Genomic DNA, 23,042 nt, shown 5'->3' on the forward strand with positions numbered 1-23,042 from the left:
ATAATATAAAGTGCTGAGAGAAAATAACTGCCATTCTTGAACTGCAAGACTATGAGCAGGCCAGGTGTGGTGGCTCAGGTCTGTAATCCCAGCAATCTGGGAGGCTGAGGTGGGAGGACTGCTTGAGGCCAGGGGTTCAAGACCAGCCTGGGAAACATAATGGGGCACTCATCTCTACAAAAAATACAAATGTCAGCTGGGCATGATGGAAGGCACCTGTAGTCTCATCTACTCATGACACTGAGGCAGAAGGGTCATTTGAGCCCAGGAGATTGAGGCTGCAGTGAGCTACGATCTCATCCCACTGCACTCCAGCCTGAGCAATAGAGCAAGACCTTGTCTCAGAAAAGCTATGTGGGCAAATAAAAATTTTAAGGAAAATTGAGAGACTATCAACATACTAGCCCTAAAGGGACTACTAAATTATGTACTTCAGGAAGAAGGAAAATAATCCTAGAAAGACAGTATGAATAAAAGGAAGAGTGAGCATTATTTTTTAAAAAGGTAAACAGAGCTGCTGGTATAAGAAAAGGAAGGTAGATAAGTAGAAAACAGAAGCACAGAGAAATGGGAAAGTGCAAACTACAAAAAAGACCATCAGAAATAAATGCAACAGTGTGATTTCTTACATTCATGTAACTCCAGTCATAGAAAGTAAAGAGAGAAAATAGGGGAAAGGTATATTTGAAGATATAATAGCCAAGATTTATCTACAACTGATAAAAGACAGTTATTGTAATAAAGAAGTGTATAAACTAAACCTAAGTCTCACACCTTACACAAAAATTAACTCAAAATAGATAATAGTCTTAAATGTAAAATGTAAAACTACAAGACTTTTAGACAAAACATAGGAGAAAATCTTTGGGATACAAGCATAAAGAAAGAGTTCTTAGACTTAACATACGGCAATAGCATGATCTATGTAAGGAAAAACTGAACTTTATCTAAACTAATACATTTTCCTCTGTGAAAAGCATTAGGAGTAGTAAAAGGCAAATTACAGACTAGAAGAAAATACTTGCAAACCACATATCTGACAAGGAACTAATATCTGTAATATATAAAGAACTCTCAAAACTCAATAAAAGTCCAATTAGAAAATAAAAAAAAGACATGAACAAAAACTTACCATAGATGGTTTACAGATGGCACATAAGCAAATGAGATATTCAACATCATTAGCAATTAGGAAAATGCAAATTAAAACACAATGCCATATCACCATACACCTATCAGATTGGATAAAATAAAAATAGTGACAACACCAAATACTGGCAAGGATGCAGAGAAGCTGGATCACTCATGCATTGCTGCTGGGAATGTAGAATGATACAGCCACTGTGGAAAATAGTTTGCAATTTCTTAAAAACCTAAACATGAAACTGCCCCACAGCCCAGCAATTGTACTCTTGGAAATTTACCTCAGAAAAATGAAGGACTTTCTCCAAAGGTAAGTAGGGAGAAAAAAAGAAAGAAAAATACAGACTTACATTTTCACAAAAACCTATACATTAATGTTTATAGCAGCTTTATTCATAATATCCCCAAACTAGAAACAACCCAGATGTCCTTCACTGGGTGAATGGCTAAACAAACTGTTCTAAATCCATACCATACTACTCAGCAATAAAAAGGAACAAATTACTGATACATGCAACAGCCTGGATGAATCTTCAGGGAGTTACATTGAGTGGGGGAAAAAAAAATTCCAGGCCAGGCACAGTGGCTTATGCCTGTAACCCAACACTTTGGGAGGCTGAGGCGGGCAAATCATGAGGTCAGGAGATCAAGACCATCCTGGCCAACATGGTGAGACCCCATCTCTACTAAAAATACAAAAATTAGCTGGGTGTGGTGGTGCACATCTGTAGTCCCAGCTACTCTGGAGGCTGAGGCAGGATAATTGCTTCAACACGGGAGGTGGAGACTGCAGTGACCTGAGATCGCACCACTGCACTCGAGCCTGGCGACAGAGCGAGACTCCGTCTCAAAAAAGAAAAAAAATTCCAAAGGTTACATACTATATAAGCCCATGCCTTTTTGTATATTTTGTCTTGAAATGACAAAATTATAGAAATAAAGAACAGCTTAGTGGTTGCCAGGTGTTCAGAAGGCAGTGGGGACGGGAGGGAGTGGGTGAGGCAATAAAAGGGCAATTTGAGGGATCCTTGTGGTGATGGAAATGTTCTGTATCTTGACTGTATCAATGTCAATTCCTGGTTATGATACTGTACTACAGTTTTGCAAAATATTGTCATTGGAGAAAATGGGGTAAAGACACAGTGTCTCTCTGTAATGCTTCTTACAACTGTATGACAATATGCAATTAAGAGTAAAAGTTTAATTTTAAAAACTATAATAACAAGCTACTGGAGGGGGGCATTGAAAGATAAAAATAATTTGTTAAAGTGGGAAAGAAGAAAATGAAATAGGACAAATAGAACAAATATAAAATAAATGTAATGTGGTAGTTTTAACTTCGAATATATTGAGTAAGTATACCAAGACCAAGATTGTCAGACTGGTTACAAAATCAAAAACCCAATCATATGCTGTTTAAAGAGATATGCCATAAAAATGGCACAGAGGTGAAAGAAAAAGGATGGAAAAAAGTTTATCATAAAAACACTAACCAGAGACAGCTGATATGACTTCTCTAATAGCAGACAAAGTCAAATTTGTTTCGATAATACTACTAAAAACAAAAAGAATATTTCATAAAAGACTCAACAAATCAAGATAACTAGAAATCCTACCACCTATTGGGAAGCTGAAATGGGAGGATTGGTTGAGTCTAGGAGTTTTTAACCAGCCTGAGCAACATAGTAAGATCCCCTCATCAAAAATGAACAAACAAAAAAAGAGAAATATCATAGTCAATCCAATTGAAAATTCAGATGAAACAGACAAATTTCTTGAAAACACATTCTGTATTAGTTCGTTCTTGCATTGCTATAAAGAAATACCTAAGACTGGGATATTTATAAAGAGAAGAGGTTTAGTTGGCTCATGGTTCTGCAGGCTGTACAGGAAGCGTAGTGGCTTCTACTTCTGGGGAGGCCTCAGGAAGCTTCCAATCATAGTGGAAGGAAAAGCCGGAGCAGTTGTCTTATGTGGCAGGAACAGAAGCGAGAGAGAGAGGGAAAGGGGAAGCGTTACACACTTTTAAACAACCAGATCTTGTGAGAAGTCACTGTCATGAGAACAGCCAGGGGACGGTGCTAAACCATTCATAAGAAACTGCCCTTATGATCCAGTCACCTCCCACCAGGCCCCACCTCCAACAATGGGGATTACAATTCAACATGGGAATTGGGGAGGGACACAGATCCAAACCATATCAACATCTTAATGAAACTGACAGATAAAGAAATAGAAAACCTGAATGTTCCTCTGTCTATTAGCAAATTGAGTTTGTATGTAGCCTTCCCACAAATAAAATTCTCAGCATGTTTTGCTTCACTTACAAGTTCTATCAAATGAGCTGAGCATGTTGGCTCACATCTGTAAATCCCAGCACTTTGGGAGGCCAAGGCGGGTGGATCACTTGAGGTCAGGAGCTCGAGACCAGCCTGGCCAACATGGCAAAACCCCATCTCTACTGTTAATAAAAATACAAAAATTAGCCAGGCGTGCTGGTGTATACCTGTAATCCCGCCTACTCTGGAGGCTGGGGTAGAAGGATTGCTGGAACCAAGAGGTGGAGGTTGCAGTGAGCCAAGATGGTGCCACTGCTCTCCAGCCTGGGAGACAGAGCAAGATTTTGTCTGAAAAAAAAAAATAAATTCTATCACATATTTGGAAAGTTCACAAACTCTTCAATACAAAATAGGAAATACAAAAGAGGAAATATTTGAACTTGTTTTATGAAGTAAGCAAAACCTTGGTAACTAGAGTTGCCCAGTTAAATTCGAACTTCAGATAAATAATGAATAATTGTTAGTATAAAATATTTCACAAGATATAGTAAAAATTATTCATTATTTATCTTTAAATTCAAATTTAACTGGGTTTCCCATATTGTTATTTGCTAAATCTAACAACTGTGTTGGCAACAATACTTGACAAATACTTTACAAGAAAAGTAAATTACAGGCAGGTCTCTGTTACGAATATACATACAACAATCTTGAACAAATTATTGATAAATTAAATCCAGCAAGTTTCAAAAACGATGATATTATGGCCCATTTGGCATTCTTCCAGAAATGCAAGATTAACATTCAAAAATTAATAAAAAGGCCAGGCATGGTGGCTCACACCTGTAATCCCAGCACTTTGAGAGGCCGAGATAGGTGGATCATTTGAGATCAGAAGTTTGAAACCAGCCTGGCCAACATGGTGAAACCACGTCTCTAGTAAAAATAAAAAAATTAGCCTGGCATGGTGGGATGTGCCTGTAGTCCCAGCTACTTGGGAAACTGAGGCAGGAGAATTGCTTTAACCAGGGAGGCAGAGTTTGCAGTGAGCTTAAATCATGCCACTGCACTCCAGCCTGGGTGACAGAGGGAGACTCCATCTCAAAAAAATAATAAAATAAAATAAAATAAAAAATAAATATCAACGTTATTTTCTGTATTAATGGAATGAAAAAAAAAATCATCCAATCATCCCAAGATGCAGAAACATTTGATAAAGTTAAACCCCTATTTATAATTTTTAAAACTTTTAGCAAAGTAGTAAAAGGGACCATCAATAATTTGATAAAAGATATATGCAAAAGCCCTACAGCAAACATTGTATTTAAAGTGAAATGTGGAAGTAAGTTTTCTCCTGAGATTGGGATTAGGACAAGGAGATTCACCATCACATTCCTATTCAAACTTGTATTGATGTATTGATGGTTCCCTCCAGTGTAATAAAGCCCTTCTTTCCCCCCAAAGTATAAAAATCAGAAAGAAAAAAAATGTAATATGTAAAATAATGGCATATGTAAAATATAAAGTAAAATAAAAAACATTGTTTAAAAACTCCAAATTGCTGGGTAGATTGGATGCAATCCTAACATAATTTTCAGCAGGTTTTTAAGGAATGTGGCTGATTCTAAAATTTGTGTATAAATGCACTGGGCCAAGAAAAGCCAATAATCTTGAAGAGCAACTAAGTTGGAAGACCAGACATCAAATGTTGGATATCAAGATTATCATAAAATGGCAACAGTTAAGCTGTGTGATATTGGTGAGACAACAGGCATACAGACCAAGGGAACAGAAAAGACACACATAGAAAGTCACCGGATTTATGACAAAAGTCTTAGTACAGTATAGTTGGGAAAGGATGATATTTTTAAATAAATGGTGCTAGGTTAATTGGAAATCCACACAGAAAAATTTGAATTGAATGGCTACTTCACAACATATACAAATAACAGTTCTAGGTAGATGCTAGTCCTAAATGTAAAAGACAAACACTGAAGTTTCTAGAGGATAACAGAGGAGAATATCTTCAGTATCTTTCCAGGAGATAAAATTTTCTTAAACAGGACACAGAAAGCACTAAGCAAAAGGAAAAATGTTGACGAATTAGACTTTATTAAAACTAAGACCTTCTGTTCATCAAAGGACATGATTATGGATGTGCAGAGGCCAACCCCAGGGTGGGTGAAGATATTTGCAATACATCTATCCAATAAAGATCTCATACCCAGAAAACATGAGGACTTCCTACAAATCAGTAAGAAAAAGACATCGTTTGTATAAAATGGTCAAAAAGACTTGCGCAGGCATTTTACAAAAAGGATATACAAATGGCCAATAAACATAAAAATGTGTTTAATAACAATAATCAAAGAAATATAAATTAAAGCTATAATGAGATACCTTTTCACACCACTAGGATGGATAAAACTTTAAAAACTAATATAAAAGTTTTGGCAAGGATCGAGCGTCTAACTGTCATACACTGCTGGTGAAAGTCTAAATTGTTACAACCACTTTGGAAAATCATTTGCACCTACTGAAGCTGGTCATAGACATATTTGTGTCCCAGCAATTCTACTCCTAGGTCTATACTCACAGAAATGTTTATGTATATAAATATAATTCAGTAAACATACTGGAGTGTTTATAGCAGCAATTTTTGTAACAGCTCACAAGGGAGTTGGAGTGAATGATCAAGTAACGAGTTCGGGAAAATAAATTGGATATATATAGTCCAGCCATTTTTTTTTCCCTTTTCTCTTAGGAGCAAGCTGCCTTCAGGAATCACACATTCTGTTCCCTTCATCCATGCGTTATTTTTCAAAGTTCAGTGTGAGTATGGCCTTTGGTTGAAAGATTAATTTCTCTAATCCTGGGGTTTAGTATTAGGAAGTTCACTTGCCTGCTGAATAAGTCAATTCTCTATTATTTATTTCATCAGTAATAGAGGGGATGTTTATTCTCTATATGTGATGTCTTTGGTCTTATTTCTCAATTGCTTCATATTATTTAATGAGCTTCTGTATGGTCATAACATCTGGTGCATTAGCCAAAATCATCAAGAAATAAGACAACAAAAAGGAGGTGGATGGGAGATCAAACACACAGAGGGACTGAGACTTTTAGAGTCAGCTGTATAAGTAGCTTTAAATTTTTATGGTGCTTTTGTGAGCACAAACCATGTGAATTCTTGACCTTGGTCTTTGAGGCTTCTATTCTGCAACCTGACAGATTTTTTACAGTTACACAGTTTGCTGCTGTGCTGTGCTGTCTGTGAGTGTCTTTAAATCTTAGGTCTTATGAATTCATTCACTTTGGTGGACTACTAAAATTTATAATAATAGACAAATAGCTGTTTTTAAAGGGCCCTGCTAGCCCTAAGCAAACATGCATGAATCTCAGCAAACAGCCTCTAAAAAGCAGATGAGGCTGGGCGTAGTGGCACACACCTGTAGTCCCAGCACTTTGGGAGGCTGAGGTGGGAGGATAACTTGAGCCCAGGAGTTTGAGACCAGCCTGGCAACACAGTAAGACTCCATCACTATAAAACATTTTTTTAAAAAATTAGCCAGGTATGGTGGTTTGCTCCTGTAGTCCCAATTACTTGGGAGGCTGAGGTGGGAGAATCATTTGAGCCTAGGAGGCTGCAGCGAGCTGTGGTCATGCCACTGCACTCTAGCCTGGGCAACAGAGCGAGACCTTGTCTAAAAAAAAAAAATGCTGGAAAATACAGATGGGCCTTACTGACTGGCCTAAGTAAGCAAAACCCCTGCTTCATAGATCAGACTAGGCTCCACAAACCTACAAAGACGTCAGAGACCTTAGTAAATAGAAGGCAAGGAGGACCTTAGCAGACACAATCCTCAGAGAGCAGACAGCAGCACCTTAGCTCACTCGTGTGGAGCCCCTACAAAACCAACAGATTTCTGTAGCATGTGCGAGCCCTAATTTTAAAAAGATACGATCATAGGCAAAAGAGACATGAGAGGCAGATCAATTATTTGCTGCTTATACTACATTTTTCAACTAGGTCTACAGGGCAAGACTCATCCTATACCCAAGTTTCATGTATGTTACAAAGCACTAATATTTTAGCTTTAAATTGTTACTGCTAGGCCTAGTTGGACAGTGTGGATAAGCCAAATCCTATCCATTTGTATACTGTTTTTGTCTACCTATAGGACCAAAGGAGGAAACTATGTAAGTACTGTACAAACCTCTTGGATTCATGTGGATTGCTCACAAGCTCTTGAGGGTCACTCCCTATCAGGTTGATTTTAATTTGTTAATCTCATATGTTCTGACCATGGCTTTATCTGTCATGTTATACTCAAATAGTAGCTTCATTCATAGAAGGGTAATGTATTTTTATTATCAAATAATGGGAATTCTTATTATAAAGGCTACACCCTCTTTTGGGGTTGGAATAGAGAAACAGCTTGATGAAATTACTGCAATTTAAATTTAAAGCAATTTAAAATATTGTGCTCTGAAAATTGGCTTTAGGAATCAAGTGTGTTCAAGAAATCAAGGATGCCATACCCCGGTCACAGCAAGACCCCATTTCCCCCTGACCCCCCCAAAAAAAAAAAAAAAAAAAAAAAAATATATATATATATATATATATATATATATATATGTATGTATTAGCCAGGTGTGTTGGTGCACACCTGTAGTCTCAGCTACTCAGGAAGCTGAAGAGAGAGGATTGCTTGAGCCCAGGAGTTCAAGGCTACAGTGAGCTATTATCACCACTGTACTCCAGCTTAGGTGACAGAGCAAGACCTTGTCTCTAGGCTGGGCACAGTGGCTCACGCCTGTAATCCTAACACTTTGGGAGGCTGAGGTGGGCAGATCACAAGGTCATGAGTTCAAGACCAGCCTGGCCAATATGGTGAAACCCCATCTCTACTAAAAATACAAAAATTAGCCAGGCGTGGTGGTGAGCGCCTGTAGTCCCAGCTACTCGGGAGGCTGAGGCAGGAGAATTGCTTGAACCCGGGAGGCAGAGATGCAGTGAGCTGAGATCGCGCCAGTGCACTCCAGCCTGGGTGACAGAGCGAGAGTCCATCTCAAAAAAAAAAAAAAAAAAAGACCACGTCTCTAAAAAAATAAGATAAAATAAAAAAGAAATAATATAGAAGCTAGGGTGGCTTGAAAAGTGTGCTTCAGTCTTTTTTTCAGAACAGGAATAACAGAATAAAAACAAAATAAAGGTTGGCAGGCTGGTTGCACTTGAGGAAGAAAAAGGTTTTCTTAAGAGAACATCTACCTTTTGGGAAGAGAGCTTTTGGAAGGAAAGACAAGAAAGATGTGAAATGGAAATAAGATCTTAAAGTCCAAGATGGACACATATAAAAGAGAAATGGAGATGCACCTGTGTCTAAATGTCCTCAAAGAACGCACTAGAACATGGGAAAATGTCTTTACGGTTATTACATCAGAAAAATGATTGAGGCCCAAATAAATCTAACAGAAGAAGAGAGACAAGATTTCAAGGGGCAGATTAGAACAGCTCCTCAAAAGGAATCAGGATCTGGGAAACCACTGAGAGTTTCTCAGGGCATAGATTGATTTTGTAAGGGCAGTTAGGGGAGCTGCCTCTTAAAAGATCGGGGCTTGATTGCAGGGGATTTAACTGTTGCACTTTAATTTTTCCTTAGGAATTTGACAATGGGAGGTGGTTTGTATTTAAATGTGATAGATCTGTGTATTGTTAGTATTTTGTCATTGAAATGATTTTATACATTTTATTCTCAGAATATCTTTATGTTTTAATTTGAAGTCATTAAAGACTCTCTGCTTACTATGGTGTACAACATGACTAGATATAACTTGAAGTAGGAAATAGAATAATTTTCAGCCTTGAGCATCAAGTGTCCTTGAAATTGATCCAAGTAATGTCTTGTTTTGATCCATTTCAGAGCCTTCCGGGGAACAGAGCTACACCATATACTTTGTTCACAAAAGAGTGGAGATTAGGATTGAGGAAGGAGCTGACTTCTGAAAGTGGGAGCAAAATTATCTTGGTCAACTGCTGAGCTCCCAAAGAGGATAACCACATTCTGGGAGGACTCTAGGCTTAGTATTTAAGCATAGTGGGCTTATAGAAGAAAATCTTCAGAATGGCAAGTAGAGGTGGGGAAATTCTTCTTTGTCTTACTCAGTTTCCCTACCCACTCCTGCCCTAAAGAAGTAGGATTATTGATTGGTGAATTTGGAAAGAAAACTGGCATTCCTCTTCCAGTCTCCTCCTCTCTCCTTGGGGAGTTAGCCTGCCCTCCCATACTGCACATGTTCTGCTTACTTTTGTGCCACAGCACAAAAGAGAGGTGGCCTGTGGCTTTCCAGCTCTCCCTATGATTTAGTGGTAGTCTGCCTATTTTCAAGGTTCATTATTATTGCATAAAGAGGGGAGCTGCATTCCCCAGCATCAGCTTTATTAGCAATAAAGGAAATGAGATGGTTCTCCACCTGCCATACTCTTTGGTCTTACATAAAAATTGGTTCGAAACTCAGATGAGGAGTGCTAGTACTATTTATATGTTTCCCTCAAATTTCTAAGAGGGTGCTTTCAGAAGAAAAGGTGATCCCAGATTAGGGTTTGAAGGACAAATAGAGTGTGTATGGTGTAAGTGAAAAACATGATTGCGGAAGGAGGAAAGAGCATGTGCAAAAGCAGAGATACTTTAAAGAGTGTTGTGTGATCTGGATGGCTCAGTGATGTATAAGTAAAATGCAAGGTGAGGAGTGGTAGCAAAGAGGCTAGAGACTATAGAGCTAGTACAAGGCCAATTTATAAAGGGCTCAGACTTTATCCTGTAGATGATGGTAAGCAATGCAGGAAGGGAGAGGATGGAAGAAGAGTCTTAAGCGTGGGAAGTAATTCAAGGTAAACAAGTGAAAATAGGTATAGATTAGCCTTCTAAGCAGCTTGACTATTAAGGGAATCCAAGGGCTTATGTAAATATCTAGAGTGCCTCTTAGAGTTAAGGGAGGGTAATGGCTTACACACGGGGTTTGTTTTAATATGGGAGAAACTTGAGCAATGTGTAGCTTGCAGGAAGAGACTGAAAATATAGGAGAATGGGAGAATAATTAATGGAACAAAAAACCTAGAGAGATGAGAGGTAATGAAATCCAGAAAACAAATAAAAGGATTCCTCCCTCTTCCACTGAAGAGGCAAAGATCTGTGAGAATGCAGACCATTTTGTTGGTAGGCATGAGGCCACCAAGGAATTGCGGACTGTTAGCTTCAATTTTCTTTGTTTAATAGCAGGTTGGTCTTTGGTGAAAATGAGGGGATGGTTGGTGGAATGGGAGGTCAGAGAAAGTATTGAGGATTCAAAACTAGCTAGGGATGGGGAGAAGGACCTGCATGAAGCACTGGAGGAGGGGGCAGTCAACTAAGATTGGATTGAACTGGGGTAAGTTTCACCAGGCAGATGGGAAGGAAGGGCAGTGGGGTTTAATGGAAGAGAAGACATCGAGAGTGGCTGAAGTGACTAAACATAAGATAGGAAGAGAAAAATAATTAAAGAAAATTAATTTCTCATTACATCTATATCCTAAAGTCACTGTTGCAGAGCATAAGGGTGACATTTCTTTTAGTCAGACTAAATTGTAAATTTTAGGTACCAATGGCAAAAATGGACATAATTATTTTGTCTTTTTACTTATTAGAACAATGTCTTTAATACACATTCATTCTTAAAAAAAACCACACACAGGGAAAACAGGTCTTTTCATGGATCAAATGTATCTTCCATATTAAAGATAACATGGCATTAAAATAAATGTAGCAAGGATTATTGGTTTTACAAGAAAAATTATCAGAAACACACAAATAGTAGTCCACATATCTACTCAATGGGGTCTGTTGTGTACAAACCCAAAATATACCTTATAAACAAGCAATACTTATAAAATCTGATTACATATTTTGTAGCAAAACTTCAAAAGTTTCCTTCAAAGTTAGGGGAGCAATCCACAAGAGATCACCTTCACTTCTGACCCCAACTTAAGAGTTCAGGGTTCCCAGTGAGAGGTGAATCTGTCTGGGCTTCTGGGTCAGGTGGGGACTTGGAGAACTTTTCTGCCTAGCTAAAGGGTTGTAAATGCACAAATCAGCGCTCTGTGTCTAGCTAAAGGTTTGTAAACGCACCAATCAGCACTTTGTAAAAAACACACCAATCAACGTCTGTGTTTAGCTAAAGGTTTTGTAAGTGCACCAATCAGCACTCTGTAAAAACGCACCAATCAGCGGGACGTGGGCAGGGCCACATAAGGGAATAAAAGCTGGCCACCTGAGCCAGCAGCGGCAACCTGCTTAGGTCCCCTTCCATGGAAGCTTTGTTCTTTCGCTCTTGACAATAAATCTTGCTGCTGCTCACTCTTTGGGTCCACACCACCTTTATGAGCTGTAACACTCACTGCGAGTGTCTGTGGCTTCATTCCTGAAGTCAGTGAGACCACGAACCCACCAGGAGGAACGAACAACTCTGGACGTACCACCTTTAAGAGCTGTAACACTCACTGCAAAGGTCTGTGGCTTCACTCCTTAAGTCAGCGAGACCACAAGCCCACCGGAAGGAAGAAACTCTGGACACATCTGAACATCTGAAGGAACAAACTCCGGACACACCATCTTTAAGAACTGTAACACTCACCACGAGGGTCTGCAGCTTCATTCTTGAAGTCAGTGAGACCAAGAACCCACCAGAAGGAATAAATTCTGGACACACCAGGACTACCCTTAAGTCTGGTAATTTACTTGAAGGACCGAGAGAACTCACTGATAACTATTATATTCACAGTTATGGTTTATTACAACAAAAGCATACTGGCTGGACACAGTGGCTCACATCTGTAATTCCAGCACTTTGGGAGGCCAAGGCAGGAGGATCACTTGAGGCCAGCAGTTCAAGACCAGCCTGGGCAACATGGACTCCATCTTTTTAAAATTTGTGTGTGCGTGTGTGTGTGTGTGTGTGTGTGTGTGTGTGTAAAAGGGGGAAAAAAGGATGCTGATTCCAAGGGAATTGGTGCATAGAGCAGAGTCCAGGAAATTTTAGTCTGCAGCCCCTCTGGAGGTAGACTGGCTATCTCATGGCCCAAAGACCACATCATAAATCACATTCTTACACCATCCAGTGTAGCTAAAGGCTCCCAGGTAAACAAAGCCACTCTTCCTAGAGATCACCTCCTAGGATACAAGGACAAAGGCCAGACTTCTTTTTGGGTAAGGTTAATTCTTTGCTACGCACTTCTAAAATACCAAAATAATCAATTCTCTGAATATATTCCTATAAAAGTAGGTATTAATAACCTATTGTCTGACTCCCTGCTGAGTCAAATATATTACTTTTCATGATTTTACTTCATACCTGTGATTGCTTCCTTAAGTTTTTCAAATTCACGTTGGAATGTTGAGTTATAAATTTCATTTGTTTTATGACAACCATTTTCTGGTAAATTTTCATCTTCTGCAGGAAAATCGTGCTACTCCGTTTCACAGTTTTTTTATTATAATTTTGAATAGATGTTCTGCATATGACTTTCATAATCTTTGAATTTAAATTAGTGAAATTTTCCTGGACTACTAACAGGAGGTGAAAAGAAAGATTAGGATAGCATTATAAAATTCATCTCTCGAGGGCTCCCTCTTCTGTTGCTATAGAAGACGACTCTTTTCTTAAACTCTGTGAACACCTACTCTGCCTCTCAGAACTGAACCTGGTTCCAAAGAGCTTCTACACACAGTCCTGGGCTTCCTGATTTATTCACAGGCTGCAGGGACACAGATATTGCCTTCTAAGATGATGATACTGCTTTTAGAAGTTATTTTACTGGTGCTTTCTAAGGTCTGCAATCTCTGATTGGGCAGCTTCTGTCCTTCTCTCTCTCCCTTCCCAATGTTTGGAGCCTATTCAGTCGCAGCCTTGTTTTTAGGGTACAGCCACCACTAAACTCCTTCCCCACTTCCAGTACTTTCCCATATTGTCTTGATTTCCTATGTGGGCTTGCTGTCCTCAGTTGCCTATTGCAGCATTCACATTTAATTTTGGAGTTTTGGAGTTTTCTTAGCTATTTGCTGAAAGTTCAGTTTCTATGAATTTATTTTCATTTTCTTGGTTGCTCTGGATAGATTTCAGGAGAAGAAATGAAAACTTTCAAAACTAAGCAGACCTCATATTCTTTTAGAATGCTAATATAATTCATTTCTGTTCCATGTTTTCAAAAAATATGAAGAAATTCTAGGGAAGTACTCTGATTATTGGCTTCAGATAATGAAGAAGAATGTTATAGTTGTCAGTAGCCCACTTAGAGTCAGTTATGTAGATGTTCCCATCTGCAATGACACCAAGGCTATAACTATAGAAGGTAATATCCCAAAGCAGTTTTTATATAAAGTCATTTGCAGCATATAGTGTAGATTTTTTTCTTTAATTAAAATGAAAGCACCTCAGTGAGGTGCTTTCAACGTTTTATTCTGGTATACTAAAAAGAAGATTGTTAGTCAAAATGTTTCTCCTGAACCCAAGTAACTGGAACACTGTACAGAAGTGTTTGAGAACGTATTCCAATCTAGGTGGATTATGGGTGAGAGAATGCTATAATAATTCTCATTTTAGTTCTGGAGATTTTAATCTACGTTCAGTTTCTTTTTAAAAATTACTAACATTCTATTTTGCTAGTCAGTCACAAATAATTTTGTACCCAGAGCAAGTTCCAGCATTACCTGGGAACTACATCTCCATCTTTTTTATGCCTCACTCTCTCATGAGAACAAAATCAAGGTAAAAGCCACAGAGATATGCTGAGCAAAATGTTAAGACTATGAATAGTATCAGAATGCAGATGTTATTTTACTATATACTGTACTAGTTATAACCAAGTGACTTAAAATAGGAAGTAAGAGGAAGAGCTGAGCGTGTGGCAGTCACTTTGATGTAGGGTTGGAATCCAGTATACCTTGATGGTGGTAACCCTAGTGAAACACCTCCTACTCTGGGATAGAACCCTGGGAAGCCTAGGCCAAAAGTGGGGAGAGGGACTAGAATGATCTGGTTGGCTCAGAAATCCTCAAGCATTGATTCAGGACTACTGGCACCCTTTAGCACCCAATGGAAGGAAAAGAAGCGCCTCTCTATAGGAACATTACATCATCCAGTGCTTCAAATTGTTTATATTAAATCAGTTTTTCCAATTAAATGAACTGCAAACAATCAAAATTAATGGATGCAGGAAGAGTAAGCATGAGACAGCCACCAGGAGAAACAATAGACAAAAGAAACAGACTTAATAACAAAGTCTAAAAACTACTATGCTTACTATGTTCATGAAAGAAAAAGTCAAGCATATAAATTTTGTCCAGGAACTAGAAATCATAAAAAAGTGACATTCAAGGTTTTAAAAAGAACCAGATAGGAATTATAAAACTAAAAAATGTAATAACTAAAAGTACAAAGACTACGGGTGAATTTTAGAGCAGGTTAGGGACACCTAAAGAGATAATGAGTGACTGGAAGATAAGTTAAAAGAAACCCTCAATAAATTTTAAAGGATTTAAATCATACAGAGTTCTAAAGTGACAATTTATATGTGTTCGAAATCAATAAGAAAAGGATAATCACATTATTTGCATATGTTTGGAAATAAGAAACCTACTTCTAGGCTGGGTGCCATGGTTCACACCTGTAATGCCAACACTTTGGGAGGCTGGCAGATGGCTTGGGTCCAGGAGTTGGAGACCAGCCCGAGCAACATGGAGAAACCTTGTCTCTATAAAAAACACACAAAAAACAAATTAGCTGAGCATGGTAGTCTGCACTTGTAGTCCCAGCTATTTGGGAGGCTGAGGTGGGAGAATCACCTGAGCCTGGGGAGGTTGACGCTGTCATGAGTAGTGATAGAGCCACTGCACTCTTGCCTGGGCAACAGAGTGAGACTCTATTTCAAAAAAAAAAAAAAGAAAAAAGAAAAAAAAAGAAACATACTTCTAAATCTATGCATCAAAAAAATGATAGGAAAATTAGATGATGTTTTAAATTCAATGGTAATAATACATATCAAGACTTGTGTGATGCAGTTAAAACAATATTGATGGAGAAATCTGTAGCTTTTAATGTACATATTTGTAAAGAAGTTAGTAAAAGAACAGCAAAATAGAAAGTAGAAAGAAATAATAAAGAAAATAGAATAATTGAAATAGAAAAAAATACAATAAAAACTATGTACAAAATTCAGGTCCTCTGAAAAGCCTAATAAAATTGATAGAACACTGGTGAGACTGATTAACAAAAGAGAGAAGGCACTAATAATTGATGATGAAGATAGGGACACTGGGTCAGATCTTGCACACCTTAAAAACATGAGGTTGTTATGAACATATAAATGGTATAAAAATTTAGATGAAAAACAAAAAAATCTGTATCAGACATGATACATAATAGCGAAACATGAAAAGCCTTTCTTTTGAAACTGGAAATGAGACATTTTTGCCTGCTAACACCTCTTTTATAATGTTGTTCTAGAGTCCTGAACCTGTAGTAGCACAAGAAAAAAGGGAATAAAAAATGAAGGAAAACTCAACGATTTGAAAATGGTATGATTGAATGCATTGAAACCCAAACACAAATACATTTATATTTTTATTGGATAAGAAATTTTAGCAGGGTTGCTGGATATAAAAATTAGTTTGGAAAATTAGCTTATTTTATATATATTTAAGCAACAAAAAAGGAAAATGAAATATTAAAAAGATACTATTTACAATAGTGTCAGAAATATCAAATATATATAGAGATATAATAAAAGATCAGTGAAACTTCTGCATAGCAACAAATACAATTATATTAAGAAACATTACAGAAGACCTAAATGAATTGAAAATCATGATTGGAAGGCTCAATGTTGAAGAAGTCGCTCGTCTCTCAGGTTAATGTATGGATTTGATGCAATATCATCCAAAATCCCAAAAGGCCTTTTTTGTTGTTGTTGTTGTTGTCTTATTGTTCATTTGGTTGGTTTTTCTTTTTTCTGGAACTTAAGCTGATTCTAAAATGTATAAGGAAATACAAAGGGTCAAGAATAACCAAGTCTGTGTTTTGACGAAAAAAAAATAAGGTAGAAGATCTATACTTCTAGGTTATCAAAATTTTTCTGAACGACTTTTATAATTAAGACTGTGGAATTGGCAAAGTACAATGGAAAGACTAGGCTTCAGAAACAGACCTACATACATACAACTTGATTTATGACAAAGGTGACACTGTAAAAGAATGGAATATGGATAGATTTTCCAGTGAATGGTACTTGGTCAAATGGGTAGCATATACAAAATAAAATTGTACCTCAACCACTGTGCACAAAAATCAATCATAATCTTAAATGAGAAAGGCAATACAATGAAGCTGTTAGAAGATAATGTAGAAAAATATCTTCATGATTTGGGGATAAGGAACTTACTTAAGTCACAAAAATCATCAGTCAGAAAAGAAAAGATAGATATATTTTTTCCTCATTAAAAGACTTTAAACAAAAGTTGCCACTGCAGAGTCAAAAGGCAAATTATGAAGTAGGCAAAGATGTGTGCAATATGTAAAATTGTGAAAAGGCTGTTATTCAGAAAACATGAATAACTACTACAAATCAACAGAAAAAGACACAATCCCAATAGAAAAATAGGCAAAAGACCTAACTAGGAACTTCCAAACGAGAAATCCAAAAGACCAATTAATATATAATCTCATTAGTAACTAAGAATGTTCAAATTAAAATCACAATTAGATACCATACATACCTACTTGATCTTTTTTAGAAAGTACAATATCAAATGGTAGGCAAAGATACAGAACTCTCATATATTGCTTAAGGAAGTGTAAAAGTTTGGAAATATCTAGTAAAGTTGAATCTACGCCTACCTTAAAACTCAGCAATTCTGTTTACATATGTAAGCAAGGAGCTGGAAGTTCTCACTCCAACTTAACAACATATATATCTTACTGACCTGCAGTCACGTATGTATCAGGATACATGTACAAGAATAAGAATGTTCATGGCAACATTCTTTTAATAGCCCTAAACGGGAAACAATCCATATGTCTATCAACAATAGAATGGATATATTGTAGTTTATTCATACCATAATGAAGAGAAAGAATTAAACTACATAAAAGTAGACCTTTGAAAAACAGAGTAAATGAACCCAAAGAAAACAGAATATAAAGTATATGAGTCCACTTATATAAAGTTCAAAAACAGCAAAACTGAAAAAAAAAGTTGAAGAACTATGTGGCAAAACTGTAATGAAAAACGAGGTAACAAATACCATAAAAGTCAAGATAGCTACTCCTGCTAGCTGGGAGATGGGATTTATGATGAAGAAGTGGCAGGTGATGGCTTTCTGGCATGTTGTCAATCAGGGCCATCTACATAATTTGTGGTGTCCAGAACAAACATCTTTTTTCTCTCCCTCCCTCTCTTTCTCCTCACATGGTGTTTTCTTATTTGCTATTTAATGTGGCACTCCCTTGGGCACAGGTGGAAAACTGACCCAAAGGAGCTAGGGGCCTGACTCCTGGTTCAGAGGAAATGGGGAGGATCCTGCACCTCAGCCAGACACTTCCTGCACCGTACCTCCTGCTCAGCCTCTGCCAGAGCAGAGGGTGGGGTGGGGTGGAGTGGAGAGAGTGAGCAGCCAGAACTCATTCTGGGGAGGAAGGGAGGTGGCAGGAGGCCCATGTTGCCTGAATCAATGCATTGTCCCATTGATACTTCACTGATAAAACACAAATTCAAAGATAAAATTATTGAGAATTACATGATGGTGATTGCAGGGCATTAAATGTCAAGCAGGAAGGAGGAGGAGAGTGGAGCATGTTGGCTTCTGAGCTTGGGGTCCTGTGCCACTGCAAGTCCCTGAAGCTGGCCCTTTCAGCAATGTTCTCTTTCCTGACCTGGGTAGCAGTTATACGGATGTGCATTTTACCATAACTGCTTGTCTCCGTTCATTTGTGCCGCCATAACAAAATAGTTGAGACTCAGTAATTTATAAAAACCAGAAATTTATTTTCTCAAGGTTCTGGAGGCTGAGAAGTTCAAGATCAAGATTTGATCTTGGTGTCTGGTGGAGGCTGCTCTGTGCTTCCAAGATGGTGCCTCTTGCTGCATCCTCACATGGTGGAAGAGATGGAAGGGGTAAACTCGCCCCCTCTATCCCTTTCATAAGGCGCTAATCACATTCATGAGGGTGGCCTCACCACCTCCTAAAAGCCCCACCTCTTAGTACTGTTGCATTGGGGATTGAGTTTCACAATGAATTTGGGAGGGGACACACACAAACACTGAAACCACAGCACTGCTTAAACTGGACATTCATGCTTTATACAATTTTCTGTATGATGGCTGAGTTTAAAACTAGATAAAGGAAAGGTGGTGTAAAACGGAATGAACTTTTGCTGTAAAATATAGAATTATTCACATATAGAGATGTATATACTAGTAAATGCATACTTTTTTCTAGAAGGAAACAATAATCTGTTAACACTGGTTGCTTCAAGGGACAGGGATTTGAGGAGATGAGGTAAAACAGGCTTTTGTTTTTCATATGAACCTTTTTGTATTATTTGAATTTTCTACTGTGGTCATGTTGGGATTATTGGCCAATTTATATGTTTTTGTAAATTAAATAAAATTATTTAGTTGCTTATTTTAAAGTAAAGCCAGAAAAATGCAATCATGTTAAAAGCCTATAGGGAAGACAGGCACGGATACATACTTTTTTAAGAATCATATTTTGAACCATTTTAGAAAGCAAAGAGCATTTTTGTTGATATGAACAACCCCCCTATAATTAAGGTTTCATAGATCTATATTTTTTACCTAGTCTACTCTGAGGTAGATTTACTGTGAAGCTAAAGGATTCAAACTTCAGAGTCCCTCACTTGGATAGACCCTTATGAAGTCCTGTACCTAATTTTAATTTTGCATTCATAATTTTACATACTTCTTTAAAAAGACCTTTCAGATTATATAATCTTGAAGCCCCCCTAAAACCTGATTCCAACCTTGACTGTGAGTTACACTCAAATCAAAGAGTTCTTATACCTGCCCTAAATATGAAGATTTGTAGAAATAAGTAACAAAACATGGTTGTAAAAATGTATCTAAACAAATAGATTCACTCAAGATACACTTTAAATCTGGCAGTGAGAATTAACATGTCCCCTACTCCAGCAATCTTTTCAACTTGCCAGAAATGAATCATTTCCTCCTATGTGCTATGCCTGTACTTTCTCTCTATTGTTATTGAGGTTTGTATTATGTGCTTGTTAAGCTACCTGTCTGCCCTACTAGACAAGAAGCTCCCAAATAGCTAGGACCCTCTCAATTATTTTTGTGCCTCCAGGGCCTAGAAAAAGATTCTAGCATGCAACAAGTGACTGTTTAATAGGATCTTTTTACAACCATTGTATTGTGTGTAAAGGAGCCATAGCTACAGTTCTTTACTTGAGTAAGCTTCATATGAAACTGATAACTATACATATACATACATGCACAGCTTAAGGAGATTCACAAAGTACTTATCAGTAAGCATCTTTCTTTTTCCTACTGAATTTACATGATTTGGTCACATTTTGCAGAAGATATAAGCTTTTTTAAGCACAAGAACCAAACAATATGAATTTCATGAACTATTTTAAAAACACATAAATGTACAAAGAAAAATATGAAAATTCAACATCCCACTGTCATGTTTCAGATATTTTTAATAAATAAAAACTTTAAAATTCAGAAGAAACCATCTTTAAGCCATTCCCAGTGTGAAAATTGATCATACAATCTGGATCATTCTTGTCATACCCAACTAAATCAGAATCGAGGGACCAGGGGAGAAAGCAATCAGGGCACACAGCTCTAGCATTAAGAATTAAGTTTTTTACAACCCAGCTGCTGAAACGGCCTGCAGTAACTCTAAGACCAGTTTTACCGAGTAGTTGCTGAAACAATCTCCTATGACTAAGACTGGTTTTATCTACCACTCTCACTCACCAATCAGAGCTTGCCAGCTTCCCAAAACTTTACTATAGTGCCAATGAACCTTCTTTCAAAACAGTAGCAACATTTCTCTTTCTAATAAAACTCTCGACCTTCTCTTTGTTCTTCTGACATACTAAAGACCACTCAGTCTGTGTGTATGTCCTGAACTGCAATTCTTGCTTCCCCAAAAAACCATTAAATTTAGAAATTCATCTCTTTATATTTTATGTTTACTCTGACACCATATACAAATTCCTTGGCCTCCTTCGTTGGAGATGAGCATCACCCTGAAGTTGGGATGTATCATCCCATCCATATATTCTCATTTTTACCACTTAAGAAAATGTATCCATAAATATATAACATGTATCCATAAATATATAATTATTCTGTGTTGTAATTTTTTTTTTTTTTTGAGACAGGGTCTCGCTCTGTTGCTCAGGCTGGAGTGCAGTGGTGCAATCTCAGGTCACTGCAACCTCTGCCTCCTGGGTTCAAGCAATTCTCCTCCCTCAGCCTCCCAAGTAGCTGGAACCCCAGGCTTGTGTCACCATGCCTGCCTAATTTTTGTATTTTTAATAGAGACGGAGTTTCACCATGTTGGCCAGGCTGGTCTCGAACTCCTGACTTCAGATGATCCACCCTCCTCGGCCTCCCAAAGTGCTGGGATTACAGGCGTGAGCCACCACGCCCTACTGTGTTGTAATACTTTAAGCCAGTGTTATCTAATGCAACAGGTACAATTTATTGTAATATTTTGTTTAACCCATTACATCCAAAACATTTAAACATATATAAAAATTTTTAATGTGCACTTCAATATTCTTTTTGAAAATTTCTTGTAGTAAGTCCAGAAATAAAAAAAAAGTCCAGCTGATATATACTTACAGCACATCTCAATTCATATGCTAAAGTTAGAGTTCATAAAATTTAAGTTGGAAAAACAGATTCATATATCTGAGTTGTTGCAAACACACTTAAAAGTATTCCAACAATTGAATCGAGCATCAGGTTTTTGGTTTTTGTTTAATTCAAATTCAATTAACGATTCAGTTTTTCCGTCTCAACCACATTTCAAGTGCTGAGTAGCCACATATGGCTAGAGGACAGCCTACTGGACAGCACAGCTTAAGGAGGTACACAATGTACTTATCAGTCATCATCTTTCTTTTTCCTACTGAATTTACGTAATATTTAAATTGTTTTTCTTTGTCATATCCTAGAACTCAAACGCACAGATACAATGGATACCTTTGATTTTCTGCGTCGATGGCATTTTGCATTTAAAAAGATCATCTGGGTGGGGTGGCGCGCGTCTGTAATCCCAGCTACTCGGGAGGCTGAGGCAGGAGAATCGCTTGAACTCGAGAGGCGGAGGTTGCAGGATCGCGCCACTGCACTGCACTCCATCCTGGGCGACAGAGCAAACTGTCTCAAAAGAAAAAAAAATCATTTATCACTAAATTTACTCACCAAAAGAACTTGCAAAAAAAAAACCCAAAACCCTACTGCCTAAAATATATTTTAAAACGTATTTGTGTTTAAGCAGCATATATCTTTTGATAAATAATGACGCATGGTAGCTAACTAGTAAAGATGCAGCTTTCATATTAGCCACGCCCATCCCTCTCTCCGCCCTCCACAAGCACGTCCCCGCAAGCGCGCAGGAACATACACGCGTACGCGCGCACACACACGTACACACGCGCGCGCCCGCGAACACATACATACAAGCAGGCGCGCCCAAACGCCGGCAGCACACAGGCGCGCACGCGCTTTTCAGGACTCAGGAAATGCGCTTTCTGCTCCCCGCGCCCGGTAGAGCTAATGCAGGGAAGTTTCTGGGAACATTCGACCAGCGTTTGTATTGGTGAGGTTCCAAGTTTCCTTTAAAATGATATGACTCCGCCCTTCTCCAAAACCGTTTGAGGAGAAATGGAAAAGGTTGGGCGTGGAGGTGAAAAGGAGCCCTGTTGTCAACTGGTCCGTACTCCACCTCAGGAGGCGGCCAACTTGGTGCGCCCAAGAATAAAAACATTTCCCTTGTAAGAACATGCAAGTGTTTAGAAACGCCCCCCCACCCCCCCGCAAGGCGTTTGTGAGGGGGACCTGTCACAGTTGAGAAGTCAGGATGGGCGTTTTCCTCCCAGGAGGTGCCCTATTAATTTGCGGCCTCGATAGTTGGTCAAGCCGGGATGTTAGCTGCGGAACCTCCAGGACCGAAGAGCGCCAATTCTCCTGAGTTCTCCTTGGTTTGGGTTTCCCACAAAAGAGTGGTCACACCAAAAACTCTGTCTCCACAAATGCGAAACGGGCTCGAAACTTTTTTTTCCCCACACGATCACTTCCCACACCACTCCCATCCCTTTATGTTTCGCCTCAGGAGTCGAGGAACTTCTCTGAAAACCAATTCTACGATATTCCAGCAGCTAAACACAGCCCGAATTCCCTAGAAACAGAGAGAGCGAGAGAAAACACTGTAAACCCCAATCACACGCTCCTGTTTTCCCGGTACTGAAAAAAAAAAAAAAAAAAAAAAGTGGGTCCGTGGCCGCGCTATGCATGCTAGGATTAGT

At 38.3% G+C, this 23,042-nt stretch overlaps 1 long non-coding RNA gene across 7 annotated transcripts, besides 2 other annotated features; it reads right to left on the minus strand.

Annotated features, from left to right (window-relative positions):
- Positions 1-1,514: 1,514 nt before the first annotated feature.
- Positions 1,515-22,982, minus strand: SAP30-DT (SAP30 divergent transcript). Of its 7 annotated transcripts, NR_183973.1 has the most exons (4): positions 22,576-22,982; positions 21,718-21,894; positions 3,650-3,770; positions 1,515-3,111 (listed from the first exon to the last, which is right to left on the minus strand). It is a non-coding gene; the product is annotated as an SAP30 divergent transcript (long non-coding RNA). The 7 variants fall into 7 exon arrangements; NR_183974.1 differs by lacking the exon at positions 22,576-22,982 and having other exon boundaries at positions 21,718-22,078; NR_183968.1 differs by lacking the exons at positions 1,515-3,111; positions 3,650-3,770 and adding an exon at positions 16,064-16,482.
- Positions 19,924-19,993: an enhancer, noted in NCBI's record as "active region_22157". NCBI's record gives its function as "activates an Ori minimal core promoter by ATAC-STARR-seq in GM12878 lymphoblastoid cells {active_cell/tissue: GM12878}" and the evidence as "EXISTENCE:reporter gene assay evidence [ECO:0000049][PMID:35858748]".
- Positions 22,459-22,698: an enhancer, noted in NCBI's record as "active region_22158". NCBI's record gives its function as "activates an Ori minimal core promoter by ATAC-STARR-seq in GM12878 lymphoblastoid cells {active_cell/tissue: GM12878}" and the evidence as "EXISTENCE:reporter gene assay evidence [ECO:0000049][PMID:35858748]".

This window comes from Homo sapiens, chromosome 4 (genome assembly GCF_000001405.40).
Source record: "Homo sapiens chromosome 4, GRCh38.p14 Primary Assembly".
NCBI classification, from domain to species: Eukaryota; Metazoa; Chordata; class Mammalia; order Primates; family Hominidae; genus Homo; species Homo sapiens.